This window comes from Homo sapiens, chromosome 10, assembly GCF_000001405.40.
Source record: "Homo sapiens chromosome 10, GRCh38.p14 Primary Assembly".
NCBI classification, from domain to species: Eukaryota; Metazoa; Chordata; class Mammalia; order Primates; family Hominidae; genus Homo; species Homo sapiens.
In genome coordinates this window covers 99,412,349-99,437,323 of record NC_000010.11, presented here as the reverse complement: position 1 = coordinate 99,437,323, position 24,975 = coordinate 99,412,349, and the positions used below count along the sequence as shown (strand labels likewise).

General features: G+C 42.0%; 1 protein-coding gene and 1 long non-coding RNA gene across 19 annotated transcripts in view, besides 3 other annotated features; one reads left to right on the top strand and one right to left on the bottom strand.

Annotated features, from left to right (window-relative positions):
• The window catches only part of GOT1-DT (GOT1 divergent transcript), a 30,898-nt gene extending 24,510 nt beyond the window's left edge, over positions 1 to 6,388 (bottom strand). For 2 of the 18 annotated variants that reach the window (NR_183993.1, NR_183996.1), the window contains exons 1-3: positions 6,059 to 6,388; positions 3,693 to 3,778; positions 3,384 to 3,584 (exon numbers count right to left, since the gene is read on the bottom strand). This is a non-coding gene — a long non-coding RNA (GOT1 divergent transcript). Of the gene's footprint in view, positions 1 to 1,059; positions 1,616 to 1,700; positions 1,820 to 2,564; positions 2,686 to 3,383 lie in introns of those variants that run through there. The other 16 variants (NR_183994.1, NR_184001.1, NR_183991.1 and 13 more) reach the window with 13 other exon arrangements.
• Positions 6,120 to 6,549: an enhancer, noted in NCBI's record as "active region_3870". NCBI's record gives its function as "activates an Ori minimal core promoter by ATAC-STARR-seq in GM12878 lymphoblastoid cells {active_cell/tissue: GM12878}" and the evidence as "EXISTENCE:reporter gene assay evidence [ECO:0000049][PMID:35858748]".
• The window catches only part of GOT1 (glutamic-oxaloacetic transaminase 1), a 33,755-nt gene continuing 15,479 nt past the window's right edge, over positions 6,700 to 24,975 (top strand). Inside the window, exons 1-2 of the mRNA NM_002079.3 lie at positions 6,700 to 6,876; positions 16,519 to 16,700. Coding sequence (NP_002070.1) covers positions 6,759 to 6,876; positions 16,519 to 16,700 — 300 coding nt within the window. The 5' untranslated portion in view covers positions 6,700 to 6,758. The remainder of the gene's footprint in view (positions 6,877 to 16,518; positions 16,701 to 24,975) is intronic.
• Positions 6,730 to 6,779: an enhancer, noted in NCBI's record as "active region_3869". NCBI's record gives its function as "activates an Ori minimal core promoter by ATAC-STARR-seq in GM12878 lymphoblastoid cells {active_cell/tissue: GM12878}" and the evidence as "EXISTENCE:reporter gene assay evidence [ECO:0000049][PMID:35858748]".
• Positions 6,800 to 6,859: an enhancer, noted in NCBI's record as "active region_3868". NCBI's record gives its function as "activates an Ori minimal core promoter by ATAC-STARR-seq in GM12878 lymphoblastoid cells {active_cell/tissue: GM12878}" and the evidence as "EXISTENCE:reporter gene assay evidence [ECO:0000049][PMID:35858748]".

The following is a 24,975-nucleotide window of genomic DNA, read 5'->3' as shown; positions in this document are numbered from 1 at the left end:
TAACAATCTCAGGCAATAGAATGATACCAAATGAGGAGAAGAGACATAAAGTCTTCTAGGCAGGAATCTTTTTGGGCTACAGTGATAGAAATATTCATTAGGTACTTAAATGGCTTTCAAACCATTTTAATACATATTTTCTAAATTGACCCTTTTAATAAATCTAGGAGGTATTATCTCCATTTAACAGATGAAATAAAAGCTCAGAGACTGTAATTTGCCCAACTTCACATGGCAGAGCTGGGAACTAGACTCAACGTCTTTCAGTGCTTATTCCTAGTGGGATTTATCTAAATTGGCATTGAAGATTTGCTGCCAAAAGAGTTTTCAGGGTTAAACAGAATCCAAATGTGCTAGGATTACCATGGTTTTGTATTTGCTAAAATTAGAATTATTCTGTCAGCTTGCTAAAGAGCATCAAGTAACTTTAGTAAAAAATAACAGATCATTTTTTCTTGCTGTTTACCGGTTAGGGAAACTCAAATCATACTGTGATAGAATGACGACGAGCATACAAGGCTTCAATTTCACTACTTATACACAGCCATTTAGCCAACTGCAGTCCCATGAAAGACATTCTTTACCCATCTTGTCTGACACCACTCCTTAAAGTCATAATACACATACTGTATTTGAGCTAGTTCTGACCTGACCCACGTATGACAGAGAGCAACACTAACACAGCAGAATAAAGGCAGTGAATAAGAATTTAGAAGCACTTATCAGGGCTAAGACTATATGAGTTACACACATTTTTTAAAACTACATCCTGCTATTTCAGTAGATTGACTTCTATCCAGAACGTGCAGGAGCATTAGGTCTGTTCATACAATAACCCTATCTGATTACCCAGGGTCAAGCTACTGTTTATCTTTACTAGACAGAACCCATATCCTGAGTGGGGGACCTCAAACCTTCCGTGTTTTTTGCATTACCTGGTGCACCACTTCCAGGTAATGCAGGCTCTGACATTCTTTATACATAATCACCTAAACCATAATAAAAATACTCCAATTTTTTGTTTTTTTTTAATGGTAAAAGTAAACACAGACACAGGGGTCAGGAGCTTTGCCTTTATTTTCCTTCTCAAGAGTGCTCAACATTTTGCAAAAGAAGGATAGTGCTGCCCTCTACTGCTCAATGTTGAAATATTATTAATAAACGAGGTTCCTACTAGCTTTGTGTACTAGATTACCACAATTTATTACACTGTTTTAAACGAACCCTTTAAGAGTTATTTAAAAGACTGTGTTCTTGGCAAACACATTGAATTTGTTTCCTTCATTATCTCTTCATATACCTTCATCTTGTACCAAAGAGTAGGATTTTAGGACACGACACAACCAAAAGAAGGACATTACAACTTTGGGGAAGAAAGCTTAACATGGCTCTAGAAGTAAGAGACTGTACTGGTGATCCATTTAAGGAGAAACGGGGCAAGGAGAGGAAATTTTCTTCTGACTTCAAGGTCTGTAGCCTTCCCATTCTTCTGTTATTTGGAGTGTCTTCATTTGTTTTTTTGCTAAGGCAATCCATTTCCTTCTTTCTGTTTCTTTGGAGAAGGCTGCTGCCCCAGGATGTGGAGAGAATAGTGTTTCTAAAACATTTTTCTATTCTTCAGAAAAAGATAATATAGCTATACAAAGGGCTATCATTAACATTTACATTTTAATTAATTATTAATAAAGTTGTCTTATTACCTTTAAATTGCCTTGAGATTTTATAGATCTCTACAAAGACTTCTTGGAGGGCTCTAGATATTTTGAAAATTGTGTTCTCTGTTTTCTTTTCCATTTGAAAAATATTTCGGAGTACATGCCTGCAAGGGGCCAGATCAGGCAGACTTCAAAGAGAGTTTGCCTAACCATTAGCACCCTACAGCAACCCAGGGACGAATTTCCTCATATGACAATAGTAAAAACAATAATTTCTATAACTGTGTTAAATGTGTGTATATCAACACTAAGCAAAATTCTTTTTAAAAGTAAATTACATATAAGAATATTAAAACTCAGACACATCAAGTAATTTACTCAAAGTTTCAAAACTATAAGAGGCAAAGCTAGAATTTGACTCCAGGCCCCAGCCTACGTACTGTTCTAGTATACCGCTAGTAATTTAATAAAAAAGCTAAACAAATCTCAAAGGCAAGTGCTTGTAAACAACATCTGTGATGATAATAACGGTCCCAGTTAATACCTGAGTACTAAGTGTCAAGTACAATTCAGTTTTGTATGAAATCATTTAATTAAATTAAATCATTTAATCCTCATAGCAATCCCATGAGGTAGAACTATTATTATTCCCAGATGAGGAAACTGAGGCATACAGAGGCAATCTAGTTCCAGAGGCCATGCTTTTAACCATTATGCTAAACTGTTTCTTAAGCAACATACGAAAACTATACAACACAATTTCTAAATGGTGCCATGGAACTTAGTCACGTTCAACAAGTAAGTAAAACCATCAGTAGTTTTCAGTCCTATTGATCTATCTGTTATACAAAGATTTCAGCAGCTTTAAATAAAGTTCTGCATATGTGGGTACTCAGTTCAGGAACTAACCTTAGACCGTGTCCACTCTATGCCCTTCTATGAGGTAGGAAACAGAAAAATACCCTCACTTGGTTCAATCCATGTGTGCGGATTATGGGAGGAGTCATACGTAAGGGAGGGAAGGAGAGAACTGAGGGAAGAGAAGGAGACATGATTCCATGAAGGCACACTCACGAAACAAGCCAGTGAATTTGAGAGGAGAGGTGATAAAGGATCACTTTCCTTAGGAAGAAGAGTAAACTCATTACAGTGGGAGAACAGCAACACCTCAGGAGCCCTATGCTTATCTTATCGCACACTATTTAGCCACACTGTGCCTCTATAACAGATCTCATACGGCTTTGGTTTTTAAAGAAACATTTGCTCAGCACACAACTCAGCTTCTAAATAATATCCTACCCATAGTGCCAGCACTCACCCAAATATAACGACTCCAAAGAATGACAAACTCATCCCTCCCCTGACTTTTTCCTAAGTTTAGACCTTCGGGTATTCAGGGGCAAGACTGAGTAAAATAAGCATGTGTGGCCTGGTGCAGTAGCTCACGCCTGTAATCTCAACACTTTGGGAGGCCGATTGCTTGGCCCAGGAGTTCGAGACCAGCTTGGCCAACACGGCGAAACCCCATCTCTACAAAAATTAGCTGCGCATGTTGGTGCACACCTGTGGTCCCAGCTACTTGAGAGGTTGAGGTGGGACAATCACCTGAGCCCAGGAGGCAGAGGTTGCAGTGAGCCAAGATCGTGCCACTGCACTCCAGCCTATGCAACAGAGTAAGGCTCTGTCTGAAAAAAACCCAAAACACCATCCACATGCAGATTTACTTACAGGTTCATGCAGTGCTCACTGCTCTTCTTGCCTGTCCAGCCCTGCAGGCTTCAGATTTCCAAGACAGTATGTTCTAAAGGAATTCATTCCAGGTGATGCTGTTGCTATATGGGTTCCCAGTTCCTCTTTTCCACTTCTTTTGAAGAAAAGGTTTCAGGGACAGGAGCAGGGGAAGGCAGAAGAAAGATGCTAGGAGGACTTCTGAACAGACAGTCATAAGGAAGGCAGGAGGCAGTGAGAACACCAGGCTCTTTCTCTTCTGACCCTTACTGCTCTTTCCCTGGACACTCACTTTATCTGGCTGCCTACCTGTCTGGGCAGCATCCAGCTCTTGAGTTGTTTGCTTGAATTATCCATTCAGCAAGGAGGCAGTGTTGAGTCAATTCTAAGCAATTCTAAATTTAAAGTGTTAAAATTAGCGATGACTTGGAAAGCATTCTGTTTATTTCAAGACTGGCATTAAATTAGAGGGGCAGCCTACAAGGCTCAAGACAGAAAGGTACTGCACTTAATCTCCAAGAACCTCACACTCCCTAGGAAAGCAGTTTGAGACTTGGATCCTACATAATATATAGGCTTCCTTCTCCCCCAGTAATTGCCTTTTAAAATTCAGAGCAGATATTGTGGGGACATGGAGAAAAACTGCACATGGCACCTTCTTTGTCCCTATCAGCATTGGCTTGATTATGGGGCGGCTTAGGATGTTAATAAATATTTGGTCTTCGCCAACATTGTTTAGGTAACCTAGGGTTGTTTTTCTCCCAGGGAATGACGTAGGGAGTGACCATGATATTGCTGGCCAACGCTGTGAAGATCATACTTTTAAATCAAATTCTGGGAAGGTTAGGCTATACAATGCCCCCCTCAGCAGTTGCCCTCTGCCCCTGCTTTTGGAAGCACTGAAAGTTCGTTGTCATTTGACCTTCAGTGTTGAACTTGTAATGCTTAAAATGTTATTAGTGAAACACTGTGGGCAGTTACCTTTAAAACCAGAGGCAATGTTTTGGAAAAGAAATAGATAACACAAAAAGTTGACGGATGTTATACAAAGTTCTTTGGCTTGTGTTTATTACTCTGAATGAAAATTCATTTTAAGATTTATAGTATTATCCAGTGGAGAGGGGCTGTGATATTGTTTTCTTCTGAAACACCAAGAGAATTGACTCTTCTACCATTTGTTGAAGGCTTAGTAAGTGCAAGAAACCTAGGGAGACTCACAGGTCCCTAGCCAAAAGAAGCTACATGGCCAACAAGCATATAAAATACTCAACATCACTAATCACTAGAGAAACCCAAATCAAAACTACAATGAGATATCATCTCACACCAGTCAGAATGGCTATTAATAAAAGTCAAGAAATAACAGATGCTGGTTTCTGGTGAGGTTGTGGAGAAAAGGGAATGCTTATACAATGCTGGTGGGAATGTAAATTAGTTCAGTAACCGCGGAAAGCAGTGTGGCGATTTCTCAAAGAACTTAAAACAGAATTACCATTCGACCCAACAATCCCAGTATTGGGTCTATACCCAAAAGAATATAAATCATTCTACCATAAAGATATATGTACATGTATGTTCACTGCAGCACTATTCACAATCGTAAAGACATGGCATCAACCTAAATGCCCATCACCAGTAGACTGAAGAAAATACGGTACATATACACCATGGACTACTATGCAGCCATAAAAAAGAAAGAGATCATGTCCTTTGTAGCAACATGGATGGAGCTGGAGGCCTTTATCCTAAGTGAACTAATGCGGAAGAGAAAACCAAATACTGCATGTTCTGACTTGTAAGTGGGAGCTAAACATTGAGAACACATGGACACAAAGAAGAGAACAACAGACACTGGGACCTACTTGAGGCTAGAGGGTGGGAGGAGGGAGAGGATCAGAAAAAATACCTGTCAAGTACTATGCTTACTATCTGGGTGACAAAATAATTTGTACAACAAACCCACATGACAAGCAATTTATCTATAAAACAAACCTGTGCATGTATCCCGAACCTAAAATAAAAGTAAAAAAAAAAAAAAAAGCAGTTTACCATCTATGAAGGGTGTGGCAGATATGCAATGTTAATAATAGCTGACATTTAGAGAGTCCTTCTTACATGCAACTAACCACTTCGTAAATGTATTAACTCACAAACTCCCCACACCAACTCTGAGGAAAATACTATTATTTCCACAGAGCAGGAACTTCCACAGAGAGGTTAAAATAACTTGACTAAACCTGCCCAAATTCGTAAGCGGCAGCCAGAATCTAAACCTAGATAGTCCGGTCCCGGAGATAGGTTTTTAACCACAAAGGCATTTTCTAAAATTGTGAAAGTACAGAAGCACAGGAAAGAGACATTTTGGCCAGATAAGGGTTAAGGGAAGGCTTCATGGATGAAGTGGCATTCGCTCTGGGTCTTGAAGGTCAGCAGATGGAGAGGGCTCCTGGGGAGGAAGGACTCTAACGGGGAAGGAACAGCCTGACGAAGAGGAACTTTGGGTACCAGCCAGCTGACGACAGCAAGATCTGGTCCGGTGCGCGCGGGAGGAAGCTGGGAAGGGACGTCGCGCCCAGATCCCGAGGTCCTTGAGGACCAGGCCCTCTCTGCAAGGAATCGGGGAGGAAAATCTCAAACTATTAATAGAAGAGCGGCAAAAAGGAATTCGTGCGCACCCCTCTCTGTTGGAAGGACCTTCCCTGCCAGAGACCAAGGCTGGCAGGACAGGTATACTTCCCTCAGGGGGAAACAGCCGACAAAGGTGGTCAAGGTCGCCCGCGCAGGCTCCGGAGCTGCACGTCCTGGACGAACACTCCCGTCCCGAGCACAGACGCTGGGTATTTGGCTGCCAGCCCGGGCCCGCCAGGCCGGGCCTGGCACCGCCAACACCTGCTCGGCGGGAACAGGAAGACCTGTGTTCGGGAACTCCCTCCGGCCACCTCCCCGTATCCTCCTGGCCCTCGAAGGTCGAAAGGTGGCCTCTCAGGGACACCCGCCGCTCGCTCGGCTCCTCCCCTCAGCCGGGAGACCCAAGGAATAACAGCCTCTGCGATAGGAGCACGCTCTACCAATCAACCGTAGTCTTCGCCCACGCCTCAGCCGGAGGAAATTGCATTGGTTGCATCATTCTCGGCAGCCGATAAATTGTTTTCTTGGATTGGCTAATAGCGTTCCTTCTCCCCTGTGCCTTCGTCGTCAGAAGCTGGCGATTGGTTAATCGCGTTGCCAAGCTTTGGACGCGGCTCGACCATTGGAGGCCGCGGGCCCGCCCCCGCCGGCTAGGTGAAGGTGAGTGTCTCCTCCAGTCGCAACGGCCAGACCTGACCTGCCAGCTCCGGGCGTGGGGTGAAATCTCTTGATTCCTAGTCTCTCGATATGGCACCTCCGTCAGTCTTTGCCGAGGTTCCGCAGGCCCAGCCTGTCCTGGTCTTCAAGCTCACTGCCGACTTCAGGGAGGATCCGGACCCCCGCAAGGTCAACCTGGGAGTGGGAGGTAAGGATGTAGTGCTCTGGAGTGTGAGCAGCTCGGGGAGTGGAGCGGACCCAACCCAGGTCGTGGAGACTGTGGGAGAAGCCGAGGCCCAGTGTGGCGCTGCCTGAAGAGGGCGGCGCCGGAGAGGAGGCTGGATCCACGAAGGCTTCCTAAAACCTGCCCATTTTACAGATGCAGGTGTGGAGTCCCTGGAAAGGGGCGATGTGTCCGAGGCCGCACAAACCAGGTGTAGCAGCCAAGACACAAACTCAGTCTTTCCGATTCCCCATTCTGCCTTCTTTATACTGCATCCTCCTAAGAAATGAGGCTGCCGGAGCTTGTAGAGAGAGGTAGAAAAATAGGAAGCCTGATAGGCTTAGGGTTCTGGTTGCTAGGAAATGGGTAAAGGAGAACTTTTAACGCTAGAAAGCTCTGTTCTGAGTCGGTAAATATTTGAGTGACCACCGAGTATCAATCAGCCACCTTATTAAGCTTTGTAGGGGGAGACTGAGGCTTGATTTTGCCCTTAAGGATTTAAAAATCTGCTGGTGTTACACAATGCTTTGAGACAGGTTAATGCTGCCCCCGGGGGGTCTGGGGAGATGGTTCTGGCCGTCACAGATGTGGTAGGAATGGGTAGAGATGGTGGAAAGGAGTGGAGAGAAGTATGGATGGTAGAAGCTTACTTTCCACACATCCTATCTTCATTTCTTGATTCAAGTGATTCTCTTCTGTACCTTGGACAGCTCAGAGCATGGGCCTCAGTTTCCCCATCTGCCAAGAAGATTTATATTGGAGTGCCTCTCAAATTTTTTACCCCTAACCCTCTCTGATGAATTTGTTATTCTTCTCACTATCATTTGGATGTTTGAAGCCCCACAGACACTTATTTTCTCCATTTGGATTTTGCCACGTGCAAAGACCAGCCAGAGAGATGAAAATGGGTAGGATAAAGTCTTATGCTAGGTAATAGACTTAGAATAAAAGGACTAGAAATTGTGGAAAGAGAAGGTGGAATCATTTTGTAGCAGAGTGTGACATGAAGGACGCTCAGAATCAGGTTTCTCATAGATAACGTTTTGTCTGTGCATAGCATTTGTTAAAAAAAAAAAAAAAAAGTCGGCCGGGCGCGGTGGCTCAGGCCTGTAATCCCAGCACTTTGGGAGGCTGAGACGGGCGGATCACGAGGTCAGGAGATGAGACCATCGTGGCTAACACGGTGAAACCCCATCTCTACTAAAAATACAAAAAAGTATCCGGGCGTGGTGTTGGCCGCCTATAGTCCCAGGTACTCGGGAGGCTGAGGCAGAAGAATTGCTTAAACCCGGGAGACGGAGGTTGCAGTGAGCCGAGATCGTGCCATTGCACTCCAGGCTGGGCGACAGAGCGAGACTCTTTCTCAAAAAAAAAAAAAAGTCTTCACTAAGGAGTATGGGGAGGGGTAAGGAAAAATCCATTGAAAAGTGATGGTTTGTTGAAGCGGGTAATTTGTTGAAGCTGGATGATGGGTACATGGGCATACGTTATATTATTCTCTCAGCTTTTGTATAGGTTTGAAATTTTTCATCATAAAGCTTTTAAGATAAGTCAGTACTACATAGTTTGGCCCATTGAGGGAAAATGATGTTTTTAGCAGGCAACTGAGTGGGAGAAATGTTGAAAGATTGCCTCAAATTGAATTTGAATGGACACCATTTGGTCTCTTAATTTAAAACCAGTCCAAAACCTCCAAGCGTTTCTTTGCAGCGGGATGTATACAAAGAACTAGTATTACTGTCAATCTAAATACATCTTTTTAAAACGTCAGATTTTGCCTGCCACGGTGGCTCACGCCTGTAATCCCAGCACTTTGGGAGGCCAAGGCAGGTGGATCACCTGAGGTCAGGAGTTCGAGACCAGCCTGGCTAACATGGTGAAACCCCATCTTTACTAAAAATACAAAAATTAGCCAGACGTGGTGGTGCACACTGGTAGTCACAGCTACTTGGGAGGCTGAAGCAGGAGAATCGCTTGAACCTGGGAGGTGGCGGTTGCAGTGAGCCAAGATCACGCCATTGTACTCCAGCCTGGGTAACAGAGTGAGACTCCGTCTCAAGAAAGAAAGAAAAAAAAAAACAAAAAACCACGTCAGATTTATTTTATTAATTCAATTTACCTTTGAACTATCTTACAGGGTTTCTGTGAGGATTAAGTACATTTAAAGTGTTTATAGCTGTATTTGGCACATAAGTAGGATTTATATAAGTGTTAGGTATTACTGTTATTGTTGTTTTGGCATTTCTTTGAGTGATTCTCATAAAAGATATTGAATAAAAATTTTCAGTTCAAGAACTGCAAAATGAACTAATTTATGACCTTGGTTCAGAAATAAACTGCTCCTGCAGAGAAAAAGCACCCCGACAGCACAGGCCAGAAGCAATGGACTCAGAATTGGAGTCATTGACTCAGACGGCCACCTCAGCTGTGAAGGTGCCTTTGTCATGTTTTCCAGGAACTCCAACTCCTTACCATGAGCAAATTATTTATGCATGTAATCTCACTGAATGCTCACAACTCTGGAGGGTGGTTTATTACTATTACTGTTTAGAGGCAAGGAAGCCGAAGACTGGAGAGGTGAAGCAATTTGCCCCAGGTCATTTGACCACTGGGTGGTAGAGCTGGGAATCCAGGCCAGGTCTCTCAGGCCTCAGAGTCTCTGCCCACACCTGTATTTCAGGTACCTCCAGGTGGTAGCCAGTACACTGTAGTGGGAAGAGCCAGGAGACCTAGGTACAGGCCCAGCACCGTGGTCCAGCCATGTGACTTGGAAGGGTTGTTTAACATCCCTGGGGCTCATCTGTTAAATGAGGAGCCAAGATTGAATGACCTCTCTCCCAAATTCTACTCTTAAGATTCTACTGGGCCAGGCATGGTGGCTCACGCCTGTAATCCCAACGCTTTGGGAGGCCGAGGCGGGCGGATCACGAGGTCAGGAGATTGAGACCATCCTGGCTAACACGGTGAAACCCCGTCTCTACTAAAAATACAAAAAAATTAGCAGGGCGTGGTGGCGGGCGCCTGCAGTCCCAGCTACACGGGAGGCTGAGGCAGGAGAATGGCGTGAACCCAGGAGGCGGAGCTTGCAGTGAGCTGAGATCGCGCCACTGCACTCCAGCCTGGGCAACAGAGTGAGACTCCGTCTCAAAAATAAATAAATAAATAAATAAATAAAAAAGATTCTACTGTACTAAAAGTCAACTCCACAATTCACTAGCACATTCTATGACTGTAGCGTAGGATAATAATTTTACTGGCCTCATCAGTTGTCTGAGGATTAAATGAATAATTATATGTGAAATGTGATATATAAATGAAAAGTGTCATATATAAGTGTTATTTTTGATCATCACTGTGACCCGTCTTTTTGTGGATAGCAGGTGTTTGGATAAGGATCTAATTAGAGTAGAATAAAAGGTCTCCTTCCAGCCGTTATATGTCCTAGTCTTATTTATACACATCCCCAAGTATACCCCTTGTGAAGAAAATGTAATTAATCATTGACCTTAGGGAAGATACTTTTTTTCCCCCAAGTTAATATAAAACCTAATGGAGGTTATCTAGTTAATGTTCCAGTGATTTTGGACACGTTTAGAATAAACTGCACCTGTAATCTCAGACAGTTCCTACTTGCAGCTAGTTTCCTCAGTTTTTCTTCTTGCTGTGATGATTTAAATAATTTCCTTATAGGTAAACAGAGGAGAGTATCACATTTTCCACTGCTAAGCACAATGCTTTCTAAGTTGATCATTTTAGTGCTTCTCAAAGCTTCAGACTGAAGTGGTTTTAAGGACATGGGAAATGGATCCAACCTGGTGCAACCTGTAGCAAGAAGTTTCTTCAAAGACTCCAGTCCATTTTTTCATGTGAGCCTAGCTTTCTTTTGGCCCAGATAAACTCTGCTAGCTTTAATATTTCTTATTTTCAACATGGTTTCCTAGCATCTTCAAATAAAATAGTTGGGAAAATATGCTTTATCAGATGTTTCTGAGTACCCCTAGCCTTCTCCCCAGTATCCTAATAGGCTCTTGAGTGGGGATAGGTGAGGGAAGTGGCGATCTTAGGAGGAAGATGAGGGTGATGGTTTGACCATTTAAATCTGTGTTCTTTCTTCCTTTCCTTCTGCAAAGCAAGACTGCTGGGCCCACCTGTAGACTGTGTGACTCCCCTAAAAGGGTTTATGTCCAGGAAGAAGAGCAGTGGGGCATGGAGCTGGGGAGCATGCTGATAAAAAGGCCCCTGACATGGTCCCAGGGGCCTGCTTGCTTCAGGCTTTCTCTAGACATCTCTTGCTTTTAAAAAAGCACATGGATCCATGAACTTAATAGTATGACAGCCTAGCTCTTGTTATCTCTGTGATCCTGGGCAAATGGTTTGACTTTTCTGGCTGCAGCAGCCAGATCCTTAAAATAGACATCACAATATCTATTTTGTGGGTTGCTATCCAAATTAAATGAGAGTAAAGAAATGTATTTAGTGCAGTACCTTGTATGTACAAAGTATTTAGTAAATCCGTGTTGTTATTTCTCTGCCCTCAGGTTCCGTCAATGTCTTTCTCCATGCCCCAGACCTCATCTCTGAATGTCAGGCCTACAGTGGACACATCCTACAACTCCCTCAAATTCAGCATGTTCAAAGCACAGCTCATCATTTCCACCTTCCCCTTGATCTTTTCTTCTATCTTCCCCTTGTGTTCTAGGTCTTGGTCGACCCCACTACCACCATCCACTCATTATCCAGACTTGAGGGAGACCTTGGAGTCAACAGCAGCCCTTTCCCCAATCCCCTGTCTTTTTATTTGGTCAATAGGTTCTGTCTTTTCTACCTCGAATCTATTTCCAATGGCACCCCTTTTCTTCATCCCTGCTGCCATTGTGTGAATTCAAGGCCTCATTATTTCGCTTCTGGAATATTGCAGTAGCTTTCTACTCCTTCTACTTCTAGTAACTCACCCTTCTTAACTACTGTCTCTGTCCTTCTCTCTGGTTTATTTTCTGTGGTGTCACTCAAATGATCCCATTAAAATGTGCAGCTGCTCATGTTACTCTCTTGCTTAAATGCTTTCAGTGGTTACCCATTGAAACTGAAGTTCCCTAAAAGAGACTCCAGGATTCTTTTAGCCACTCCCAGCTAATCCTTAGTGGATTCCACATCAGAGTCATGAAAATGCAGATCCTCAAAGACCTCATGCTCCCCAGGCCTCTGGGGCCTTGCACAGGTGTGCCCTCTCGCATGCCCTTCTTCCCTTGTTTACCTTTTAAACTCTTATTCATCTTTCATTCTTCATTCTCTGTAAAATCTTCTCTGATTCCTCAAATTAGAATTAAAGGCTCTATCTATGCTCTGTGTTTCTTGGAGGGCAGATGGGATCTTATTTTATCAATCTCTATAGCTTCTACTAGCCAGTGCCTGGCTCATGGTGAGACTTAGTAAGTACTTGTTATGTGAGCGAGTGAATGAAAGAGTGAATGAGAAACTCAAGGGTCCAACAAATAGGAATAAAAATTCTTGGGGACAGCAGGAATAGTGGTTGTTGTTAATGCCTGACCCCACTGCTCCAGTCACCCAAGAGGAATCTGGTTCTGCTTCACTAGGGCAGTTAGGAGAGGCATCAGGAACAAATCTAGAACTCAACCTGGGAAAAACTGGGCAATGGAGAAGGAAGGGGAGTTGTAAATTGGCCAGTTTTTTTTTAGTCACAGTATAGACACAATGCCTCTCCAACCATCCCCAACCCAAGTAGTAGTATTGGAATTTTAGAGTTTCACAGAGTATTCAGTAGTGGTAAGAACAGCAGTATTCCAGTCTTTTCTTTCTCTTTCATATTTTATTTATTCATAGCACATTATTTGTGAATGACATATTATCATAAATATAAACACATAGCCTAATAATGTTATAGAATAGATATAACACCCAGACACAGAACTGAAACATAACAGAACTGGTTTTTCTATAAACATCCCAAATTTTTTTGCATCTACCTAGTATCCTTTGTAGGTAGTTCAAATATGCTTTTCTTGTTCCAAGATTTCTAGAAACCCCTTTTAGACTAGCTATCAAGGCATGTAGGACCCACACAAGGGATCATTTTTTAAAATAATTGTTCTCCGTAAGTTTTACCCAGCTTATTCACTCACTCTTTTCAATGGAGATGATGCAAATGCTATTCCCGAAAAATAATTGACTTTCAAAGGACAAAGATTTGGCACTATTGAGGCTATTCAAAATAATGAGATGTTGCCTCTAGAAACAATTCCAAAAGAAGTTTCAAGAATATTTTGAACAATGGTAACGTTGTGATCATAGATATGTTGATGTGCTTTAGGGACAACTCTTACTTGGAAGTAGCTATTTTGGTACATCTTTAGAGAAGCCAGACCAAATCCCAGCTGGCGAAGGAGGCTTTTTGAACTTGTTGAGAAGTTTGGTGGACTAAGGGGTATATCATGAATGGTATGAGAGTATTGTGAGTTGGGCCAGGCATGGTGGCTCACTCCTGTAATCCCAGCACTTTGGAAGTCCGAGGCGGGAGGTTTGCTTGAGCCCAGGAGTTTGAGACCAGCCTGGGCAACAAAGTGAGGCCCTGTTTCTATGAAAAATTTAAAAAAAAAAAATTAGCTGGTCCTGGTGGTGAATGACTTTGGTCTCAGCTACATGGGAAGCTGAGGCAAGAGAATTGCTTGAGCCCAGGGGGTTGAAGCTGCAGTGAGCTGTGTTCGTGCCACTGCACTCTCACCTGGGCAACAGAGTGAGACCCTGTCTCAAAAAAAGAAAAAAATATTGTGAGTTAGATTCACCAGAGCCGGAGGGTAGACTATGAGTGGTATGAGAGTATTGTTTGATTCACCTACCCAGAGGCATTTGGTCAGTGGCTCTGTCAGTCTGTAGCCCTGTCCACATTTCTATTACTAACTTGAAATGTTTCTCAGATTTGCAGATGACATATTCCTGGAGGGTAGAGTTAGCTGATCATTCAAAATGATCTTATAAAGTCTTTTTACTGTATATCCTGTGACCTAATAAATTAACATTTAGATATTTTTCCTAAGAAAACACTCATGAATATGTGTAAATATATGAACATTTATCACAATGTTTATAATAGCAAATAATTTAAAGCAACACAGTTAATAAATTATATATAAAACAAATATTATTTATCCACTAAACTGATGTTGTAAATGGCTCATATTTATGAAAAATACCCAATTGCATTCATAATAAGATAAATGCAAATTAAAACTACTTGACATATTATATTGGCAAAAATACACTCAGTGCGTAAGGCTGTGTGGAAGCAAACGCTCTTAAACAGTGCTGGTGGGAATGTAAATTGATATAATTCCTGTATCAATTGGGACAATTTGGAAATATTTGTCAAAATTACAAAAACACATACTTCTTAGCCCACTCTTTTGTTTTCCACCCAGCATCTTACAGATATATTTGCATACATGTGAGATGACGTATGTACAGGGTCGTTCACTGAAGTATTGTTTTAATAGCCAAAGATTGTAAACAACTCAAATGTCCAACAAGAGACTGGCAAAGTAAAATATGGTACATTCATCAGCTAAGCAGCTGTAAAAAAGAACAAGGACGCTCTCTATGCGCAAATGTAAAATGATTTTCAAGTGGAAAAAGCAAGGAACACAAAACAGTGTATAGTATGCCGTATGCTACCTTTTGTTTAAAAGGGCATATGTAAGAAGCTGTGTTTGCTTGTGTAGGCATAGGGAAATGCAGGAAGGATATGTAAGAAACTAACAGTTGTTATTTATGGAGGGAGGGATTTGAGAACTAGGTAGATAGAGGATAAGAATGGGATGGAGACATGCAAACATGTCACCTATTAGAAGAATAGTTAATGAGGAGGAAAAATGCATAGTATATATTTAAATGGAAAAAAGCATGTTGAAATTCTATGTACAGTTTGATCCATATTTTATAAAAGAATATGCCCATCAAAAATAAAGCTTAGAAGGTTGTACACCAAAATTTTCATACTCCTTGTCTCTGAGTACTGGGATTATATGTTATGTTAGTTCTCACACTGCTATAAAGAACTACCTGAGACTGGGTAATTTATAAAGAAAAGAGGTTTAATGGACTCATAGTTCCACCGGCCATATAAGAAACATGGTTGGGAGGCCTCAGGAAACTTACAATCATGGAGGAAGAGTGAAGCGCAAGCAAGCACCTTCACATGGCCCAGCAGGAGAGAGAGCAAAGCGGGAGGTGCTATACACTTTTAAAAAACCAGATGTAGTGAGAACTCACTCACTGTCACAAGAACAGCAAGGCAGAAATCTGCCCCCATGGTCCATCAACACTGGAGATTACAATTCAACATGAGATTTGGGTGGGGACACACAGCCAAACTATATCAGTCTACTCCTGACCCCTATCAAATCTCATCGCCTTCTCACATTTCAAAACACAATCACATGTTAATTATAATGTTTATTTTTTACCTTCTGGGCTTTTCCCAATTTTCTACAATCAACACGTGTTGTTCAGTAAATGGTAACAACAACCCTAAAATGTAATTTTTTTTTTAAGTCAGGGATTAATTTTGGGCAGAAATCAAGAAAATAAAAATCAGTATCACTCTAAAATTTTGTTTCCATTTCAAAATCACTTGCGTAAGTGTAGGATTATTGAGGACCTAAACATTCAAACAGAGAGGCAAATGACCCCTGCCAGGAATCCTACTTGGACAGATTATTGGCGTGGGTGCAAAGCTAAGGTAACTGCCCTGTAAAGCTCTAATCCTAACATAATCATAGAATAGTGTAGGGAAAAAAATTGGTGCTGGATAACTCAGAGTGACTTAAAAATACTTTCAGAGGAAGAGGAAATGCTTAGAGGTTTACTGTAGAGCAGGATCAAATATTGTGAAATAGATCAATTTAGATCAATGAAAGGGTGAGGCAGATGAAGTGGGATGAAGTCAGAAGGGTAAACACTGGCTGAGGTCAAAATACAGAGAGAGGATAGAGATGTGTTTAAGTGGGTCCTTGGGTGATTGTGTCACCTGTCATTGAAATCGTCAGGGCATTTGCTTATCATTCGTCTTATTTCTGTTCCTCTGGGACAAGAGGAGTGGTGGGCCTTCTTCCACTCCTTCTCCATGTTTGTGTTAAAGGTGCCAGGTTCATGTGGAAGTAGCACCTAGGCTTTTTCTGGAAGTCTCTTGGGGAGATGCAGAAGGAAGAAGACTGCTGGGCCAATGGCCTAGAGACCTCAGTGCACTAGTGATATTGACATGACATTTGCAAGATGCTTTTTACTTTGCAGAGTGCTTTTCTATGTACTTTCTCATGTGACCAGGCTCTGTGATGTCCCAGTTTTATTTCAGCATTCTACTTTTTGGAGGTCACATAGTTAAGAGCTGTAAGTTCCACAAGGATGGGGACCACATCTGCCCTTATGTTTGCCCAGCACCTAGCCCAATGCTTGGCTCAAATTAGGTACTCAGTAAGTGAACAAACTTTTCTCCAATTTCCTTCACTGTTCTGTTTTGACCGGAAGGTGGTGGGATTCTCCTGGTTCACAGTTACAAACTCTTAACTTGGACACAGCATGAGCCTCCACTATGTATAACTCTTTTCCATTCTCCAGCATATCGCACGGATGACTGCCATCCCTGGGTTTTGCCAGTAGTGAAGAAAGTGGAGCAGAAGATTGCTAATGACAATAGCCTAAATCACGAGTATCTGCCAATCCTGGGCCTGGCTGAGTTCCGGAGCTGTGCTTCTCGTCTTGCCCTTGGGGATGACAGCCCAGCACTCAAGGAGAAGCGGGTAAGTTTTGGGTAAGGATGTATTTTCTCTTTAGAAACTGAAAGTAAAAAGATGTTGAGAATACAGTTTGTTTAAAATATTAGGCGTTATGTCTATTGAACTGCCAATGAATAAGTGTTTCTGTAGCGCGAGTTCAGGAACCTGATAGCGCAAATAATGTGGCCATGTACAAAGCACGGCTTTTTCACTTGTTCAGTTTTGCCCAGTAGATCATCAGATTTTAGCTACTGCATTTGAAGCAGTCAGTGGAGATGCCAAGTAGAAAGAATTTAATGGAGTGATAAAGACACCAGGGTTCTAGATCCAACTCTGCCACTACTTTTGATCATAGGCAAGTCATTTAGCCCTCTGGGCTCACATACACATGTTAGAAAAAGACCACATAGTGCGAGTCTGTGATCCCATGAGGAGCACTTGCGTAGGGAATTGTTTAAGGGGCCTCTGAGTCCCCTGAAATTATATGCAGAATTTTGTGTGTACTTATTTCTTGGGAGAAGGTGCATAGCTTTTAGCAGATTTTCAAAAGGTGTCTGTGGCCCTTCAAGGGTTCAGGAGCTACTAGTAGATGCTGTCTAAAGTCCCTGCCAGTTCTAATATTCTTTAATACTTCTACTGTTGATCTCAGCACCTATCATTTAAGTGCTTCCTGGTATATAGTCTGTGTGTAACTGGAGATACATGGAGGAAGAACACATTTGGAAGTAGACACAGTGAGATAGGCTGTGTGTTCCAGGAAGTGGAACAGATTCTCAGTGTTGTAGGAATTCAGAGGGGAGGGAGACCTATGAGTGCTGGAGATGGCACTTGAGCTGAATCTTAGAGAATGTGTGAGCGAGGCCGGGACACTGGTTCTCAGCTCCAGCTGGATGTTAGTATTACCTGGGGAGTTTTTAAAAACATACTGTGGCTGGGCCCTGTGGACCCCATGCCAGGCCAGGTAAATCAGAATCTTGGAGGCACCACCCTTCTCCCCTCTCTTTCACTCCCTTTTCTTCTCCCCCATGGGCATATTTTTTAAATACTCCCCAGGTGTTTTCAAAGTATAGCCAGTTTTGAGAACCATAAAATATGGAAGAGGGGCAAGAGGAAGGATATTCATCTTGCATGGTAGGAGTCCAGGGACAGAGGCAAGAGCTAAGCAGGTCTAGCTTGTAAAGAGACCTACCTGATGAGAGCTGGGAACATGTTGGATAGGTTAGGCAGGCTGATTCTGGCAGCCAGGGCAGGAGAAGCCAACTGAAGGTTGGAGCAGAGGAGTTACCCAATAAAAGTGTTGTTTGAAGAAGATAAGTCTGATTGGGTGGGTGGGAAAAAGAAGAGCTCAGATTTTTGCACTAGTCCAGTTGGGAATTGCACAGTTTAAACCAGTGGCCATTATCATTCCCCTGGGTCAGTGTTGTGATGTAGCCTGTAATTCATGCATTGAGGAAACCACATCTTGGAGTCATCTGATTTATTCCCCACATGCTGTGTACAGTAGGTTTTCCTTTTATATATCATGTTACCCAGATGCCCTGATAAGCAGAATGGCAGAGGACAATAAAGGTTGCACACCCATACATTTGTACATGTACCAGGAAGCAGGGAAGGCCCTGGTGAAGGTCTTGGGACTCAGGTCCATGATTAGGCAAGTAATGAACTTCATTAAGGTTTTGTATGGATTGGAATGAGAGACTATGATTTGCCTCAATGAACTGAAGTCATATGGTTAGAATAGTTAAGAGTATAGAGATTATTAATCATATTGGGAAGTTTTTCTGAAAATCCAGTGTTTCTGCAGAGGTAGAGGAGAATCCTAATGAAGTTTGAAAGTGGGGAACTGGCCAGGCGTGGTGATGCACGCCTGTAATCCCAGCACTTCGGGAGGCCAAGGTGGGCAGATTACTTGAGCTCAGGAGTTCAAGACCAGCCTGGGTAACATGGCAAAAACCCGTTTCTACAAGGAAATACAAAAATTAGCCGGGCATGGTGGCATGCATCTGTAGTCCCAGGTACTTGGGAGACTGAGGTGGGAGGATTGCTTGACCCCAAGAAGTGGAGGCTGCAGTGAGCCATGATTGCACCACTGCATTCCAGCCTGGGCAACAGAATGGGACCCTGTCTCAAAAGAAAAGAAAAAAAAAAAAAAAGAAAGTGGGGAACATAGGCCACTGGGGCCTCTCTTCTGAAACTAAATAAATTAGTTGGAATTCTGTTGCTGACAAATGAAAACAGAGATTCCATGTTGGGGAGTTTCTTCCTCTAATACTGCATTTCTTATATAGTTGTTAACTATGTTGGGCAGATGCTGTTCCTCTGCCCATTGATCTCCATTTGATGACTTACACTGTAAGACTTAAGGCTATTTTTTGTAGCCTTGACCCTGGGAACATAGCCCTCCCTCTTAATCTAGTTTCTCCTGTTTTATATTTTTGACCATAAAACAATTTTAAAAGGCCATCTTCATGGCAGCAAATATTTGAAGATATACTTTTTGGATACTCTCTTGGCATCTATTAATACATCACTGTGGGTACCAGTGGTTATTGAGCTCTGAGCCCTTCTTTTTATATATATATATATTTTTTTTTTTAATTATACTTTAAGTTCTAGGGTACGTGTGCATAACATGCAGGTTTGTTACATATGTATACATGTGCCATGTTGGTGTGCTGCACCCATTAACTCATCATTTACATTAGGTATATCTCCTAATGCTATCCTTCCCCCCTCTCCGCACCCCACAACAGGACCCGTGTGTGATGTTCTCCTTCCTGTGTCCAAGTGTTCTCATTGTTCAATTCCCACCTATGAGTGAGAACATGCAGCATTTGGTTTTTTGTCCTTGCGATAGTTTGCTGAGAATGATGGTTTCCAGCTTCATCCATGTCCCTACAAAGGACATGAACTCATCCTTTTATATGTGCCACATTTTCTTAATCCAGTCTATCATTGATGGACATTTGGGTTGGTTCCAAGTCTTTGCTATTGTGAATAGTGCTGCAATAAACATATGTATGCATGTGTCTTTATAGCAGCATGATTTATAATCCTTTGGGTATATACCCAGTAATGGGATGGCTGGGAAAATGGTATTTCTAGTTCTAGATCCCTGAGGAATCACCACACTATCTTCCACAACGGTTGAACTAGTTTACAGTCCCACCAACAGTGTAAAAGTGTTCCTATTTCTCCACATCCTCTCCAGCACCTGTTGTTTCCTGACTTTTTAATGATCACCATTCTAACTGGTGTGAGATGGTATCTCATTGTGGTTTTGATTTGCATTTCTCTGATGGCCAGTGATGATGAGCATTTTTTCATGTGTCTGTTGGCTGCATAAATGTCTTCTTTTGAGAAGTGTCTGTTCATATCCTTCGCCCACTTGTTGATGGGGTTGTTTGTTTTTTTCTTGTAAATTTGTTTGAGTTCTTTGTAGATTCTGGATATTAGTCCTTTGTCAGATGAGTAGATTGCAAAAATGTTCTCCCATTCTGTAGGTTGCCTGTTCACTCTGATGGTAGTTTCTTTTGCTGTGCAGAAGCTCTTGAGTTTAATTAGATCCCATTTGTCAATTTTGGCTTTTGTTGACATTGCTTTTGGTGTTTAAGACATGAAGTCCTTGCCCATGCCTATGTCCTGAATAGTATTGCCTAGGTTTTCTTCTAGGGTTTTTATGGTTTTAGGTCTAACATTTAAGTCTTTAATCCATCTTGAATTAATTTTTGTATAAGGTGTAAGGAAGGGATCCAGTTTCAGCTTTCTACATATGTCTAGCCAGTTTTCCCAGCACCATTTGTTAAATAGGGAATCCTTTCCCCATTTCTTGTTTTTGTCAGGTTTGTCAAAGATCAGATAATTGTAGATGTGTGGTATTATTTCTGAGGGCTCTGTTCTGTTCCATTGGTCTATATCTCTGTTTTGGTACCAGTACCATGCTGTTTTGGTTACTGTAGCCTTGTAGTGTAGTTTGAAGTCAAGTAGCATGATGCCTCCAGCTTAGGATTGACTTGGCAATGGGGGCTGTTTTTTGGTTCCATATGAACTTTAAAGTAGTTTTTCCCAATTCCGTGAAGAAAGTCATTGGTAGGTTGATGGGGATGGCATTGAATCTATAAATTACCTTGTACAGTATGGCCATTTTCATGATATTGATTCTTCCTATCCGTGAGCATGGAATGTTCTTCCATTTGTTTGTATCCTCTTTTATTTCGTTGAGCAGTGGTTTGTAGTTCTCCTTGAAGAGGTCCTTCACATCCCTTGTAAGTTGGATTCCTAGGTATTCTATTCTCTTTGAAGCAATTGTGAATGGTAGTTCATTCATGATTTGGCTCTCTATTTGTCTGTTATTGGTGTATAAGAATGCTTGTGATTTTTGCACATTGATTTTGTATCCTGAGACTTTGCTGAAGTGGCTCATCAGCTTAAGGAGATTTTGTGGTGAGACGATGGGGTTTTCTAGATACACAATCATGTCATCTGCAAACAGGGACAATTTGACTTCCTCTTTTCCTAGTTGAATACCTTGTATTTCTTTCTCCTGCCTGATTGCCCTGGCCAGAACTTTCAACACTATGTTGAATAGGAGTGGTGAGAGAGGACATCCCTGTCTTGTGCCCGTTTTCAAAGGGAATGCTTCCAGTTTTTGCCCATTCAGTATGATATTGGCTGTGGGTTTGTCATAGATAGCTCTTATTATTTTGAGATACGTCCCATCAATACCTAATTTATTGAGAGTTTTTAGCATGAACGGCTGTTGAATTTTGTCAAAGGCCTTTTCTGCATCTATTGAGATAATCATGTGGTTTTTGGCTTTGGTTCTGTTTATATGCTGGATTACGTTTATTGATTTGTGTATGTTGAAATAGCCTTGCATCCCAGGGATGAAGCCCATTGATCATGGTGGATAAGCTTTTTGATGTGCTGCTGGATTTGGTTTGCCAGCATTTTATTGAGGATTTTTGCGTCGATGTTCATCAGGGATATTGGTCTAAAATTCTCTTTTTTGGTTGTGTCTCTGCCAGGCTTTGGTATCAGGATGATGCTGGCCTCATAAAATGAGTTAGGGAGGATTTCCTCTTTTTCTATTGATTGGAATAGTTTCAGAAGGAATGGTACCAGCTCCTCCTTGTATCTCTGGTAGAATTCGGCTGTGAATCCGTCTGGTCCTGGACTTTTTTTGGTTGGTAAGCTATTAATTACTGCCTCAATTTCAGCTCCTGTTATTGGTCTATTCAGAGATTCAACTTCTTTCTGGTTTAGTCTTGGGAGGGTGTATGTGTCGAGGAATTTATCCATTTCTTCTAGATTTTCTAGTTTATTTCCATAGAGGTGTTTATAGTATTCTCTGATGGTAGTTTGTATTTCTGTGGGATCGGTGGTGATATCCCCTTTATCATTTTTTATTGCGTCTATTTGGTTCTTCTCTTTTTTCTTCTTTATTAGTCTTGCTAGCGGTCTATCAATTTTGTTGATCTTTTCAAAAAACCAGCTCCTGGATTCATTGATTTTTTGAAGGGTTTTTTGTGTCTCTGTCTCCTTCAGTTCTGCTCTGATCTTAGTTATTTCTTGCCTTCTGCTAGCTTTTGAATGTGTTTGCTCTTGCTTCTCTAGTTCTTTTAATTGTGATGTTAGGGTGTGAATTTTAGATCTTTCCTGCTTTCTCTTGTGGGCATTTAGTGCTATAAATTTCCCTCTACACACTGTTTTAAATGTGTCCCAGAGATTCTGGTATGTTGTGTCTTTGTTCTCGGTGGTTTCAAAGAACACCTTTATGTCTGCCTTCATTTCGTTATGTACCCAGTAGTCATTCAGGAGCAGGTTGTTCAGTTTTCATGTAGTTGAGCGGTTTTGAGTGAGTTTCTTAATCCTGAGTTCTAGTTTGATTGCACTGTGGTCTGAGAGACAGTTTGTTATAATTTCTGTTCTTTTACATTTGCTGAGGAGTGCTTTACTTCCAACTATGTGGTCAATTTTGAAATAAGTGTGGTGTGGTGCTGAGAAGAATGTATATTCTGTTGATTTGGGGTGGAGAGTTCTGTAGATGTCTATTAGGTCCTCTTGATGCAGAGCTGAGTTCAATTCCTGGATATCCTTGTTAACTTTCTGTCTTCATTGATCTGTCTAATGTTGACAGTGGGGTGTTAAAGTCTCCTATTATTATTGTATGGGAGTCTCAGTCCCTTTGTAGGTCCCTAAGGACTTGCTTTATGAATCTGGGTGCTCCTGTATTGGGTGCATATATATTTAGGATAGGTAGCTCTTCTTGTTGAATTGATCCCTTTACAATTATGTAATGGCCTTCTTTATCTCTTTTGATCTTTGTTGGTTTAAAGTCTGTTTTATGAGAGACTAGGATTGCAACCCCTGCCTTTTTTGTTTTCCATTTGCTTGGTAGATCTTCCTCCATCCCTTTATTTTGAGCCCATGTATGTCTCTGCACGTGAGATGGGTTTCCTGAATACAGCACACTGATGGGTCTTGACTCTTTATCCAATTTGCCAGTCTGTGTCTTTTAATTGGAGCATTTAGCCCATTTACATTTAAGGTTAATATTGTTATGTGTGAATTTGATCCTGTTATTATGATGTTAGCTGCTTATTTTGCTTGTTAGTTGATGCAGTTTCTTCCTAGCCTCGATGGTCTTTACAATTTGGCATGTTTTTGCAGTGGCTGGTACCGGTTGTTCCTTTCCATATTTAGTGCTTCCTTCAGGAGCTCTTGTAGGGCAGGCCTCGTGGTGACAAAATCTCTCAGCATTTGCTTGTCTGTAAAGGATTTTATTTCTCCTTCACTTATGAAGCTTAGTTTGGCTGGATATGAAATTCTGGGTTGAAAATTCTTTTCTTTAAGAATGTTGAATATTGGCCCCCACTCTCTTCTGGCTTGTAGAGTTTCTGCTGAGAGATCAGCTGTTAGTGTGACGGGCTTCCCTTTGTGGGTAACCCGACCTTTCTTTCTGGCTGCCTTTAACATTTTTTCCTTCATTTCAACTTTGGTGAATCTGACAATTATGTGTCTTGGAGTTGCTGTTTTTGAGGAGTATCTTCATGGCATTCTCTGTATTTCCTGAATTTGAATGTTGGCCTGCCTTGCTAGGTTGGGGAACTTCTCCTGGATAATATCCTGCAGAGTGTTTTCCAACTTGGTTCCATTCTCCCCGTCACTTTCAGGTACACCAATCAGATGTAGATTTGGTCTTTTCACATAGTCGCATATTTCTTGGAGGCTTTGTTCGTTTCTTTTTATTCTTTTTTCTCTAAACTTCTCTTCTCACTTCATTTCATTCATTTGATCTTCCATCACTGATACCCTTTCTTCCAGTTGATCGAATCGGCTACTGAAGCTTGTGCATTCGTCATGTAGTTCTCGTGCCATGGTTTTCAGCTCCATCAGGTCCTTTAAGTACTTCTCTGCATTGGTTATTCTAGTTAGCCATTCGTCTAATCTTTTTTCAAGGTTTTTAACTTCTTTGCGATGGGTTCGAACTTCCTCCTTTAGCTCAGAGAAGTTTGATCTTCTGAAGCCTTCTTCTCTCAACTCGTCAAAGTCATTCTCCATCCAGCTTTGTTCCGTTGCTGGTGAGGAGCTGCATTCCTTTGTAGGAGGAGAGGCACTCTGATTTTTAGAATTTTCAGTTTTTCTGCTCTGTTTTTTCCCCATCTTTGTGGTTTTATCTACCTTTGGTCTCTGATGATGTACAGATGGGTTTTTGGTGTGGATGTCCTTTCTGTTTGTTAGTTATCCTTTTAACAGTCAGGACCCTCAGCTGCAGATCTGTTGGAGTTTGCTGGCGGTCCACTCCAGACCTTGTTTGCCTGGGTATCAGCAGCGGAGGCTGCAGAACGGGGAATATTGGTGAACAGCAAATGTTGCTGCCTGATCGTTCCTCTGGAAGTTTCGTCTCAGAGGGGTACCCGGCCATGTGAGGTATCAGTCTGCCCCTACTGGGGGGTGCCTCCCAGTTAGGCTACTCAGGGGTCAGGGACCCACTTGAGGAGGCAGGCTGTCCGTTCTTAGATCTGAAACTCCGTGCTGAGAGAACCACTACTCTCTTCAAAGCTGTCAGACAGGGACATTTAAGTCTGCAGAGGTTTCTGCTGCCTTTTGTTCGAGCTCTGAGCCTTTCTTCTGCTTGGAAGGCCTCACCATTCCCAGGCTGCTGTCTTAGTTCACTAATAGCCTCTTAATTTACCTTCCTGCCTCTAGTCTCTTCCCTGTTTTAGTACATTCTGCATGCTGCAGCTAGGATGACCTTCCTTGGCAAAACAAGCTACTCATGTCACCTGTTCCCACT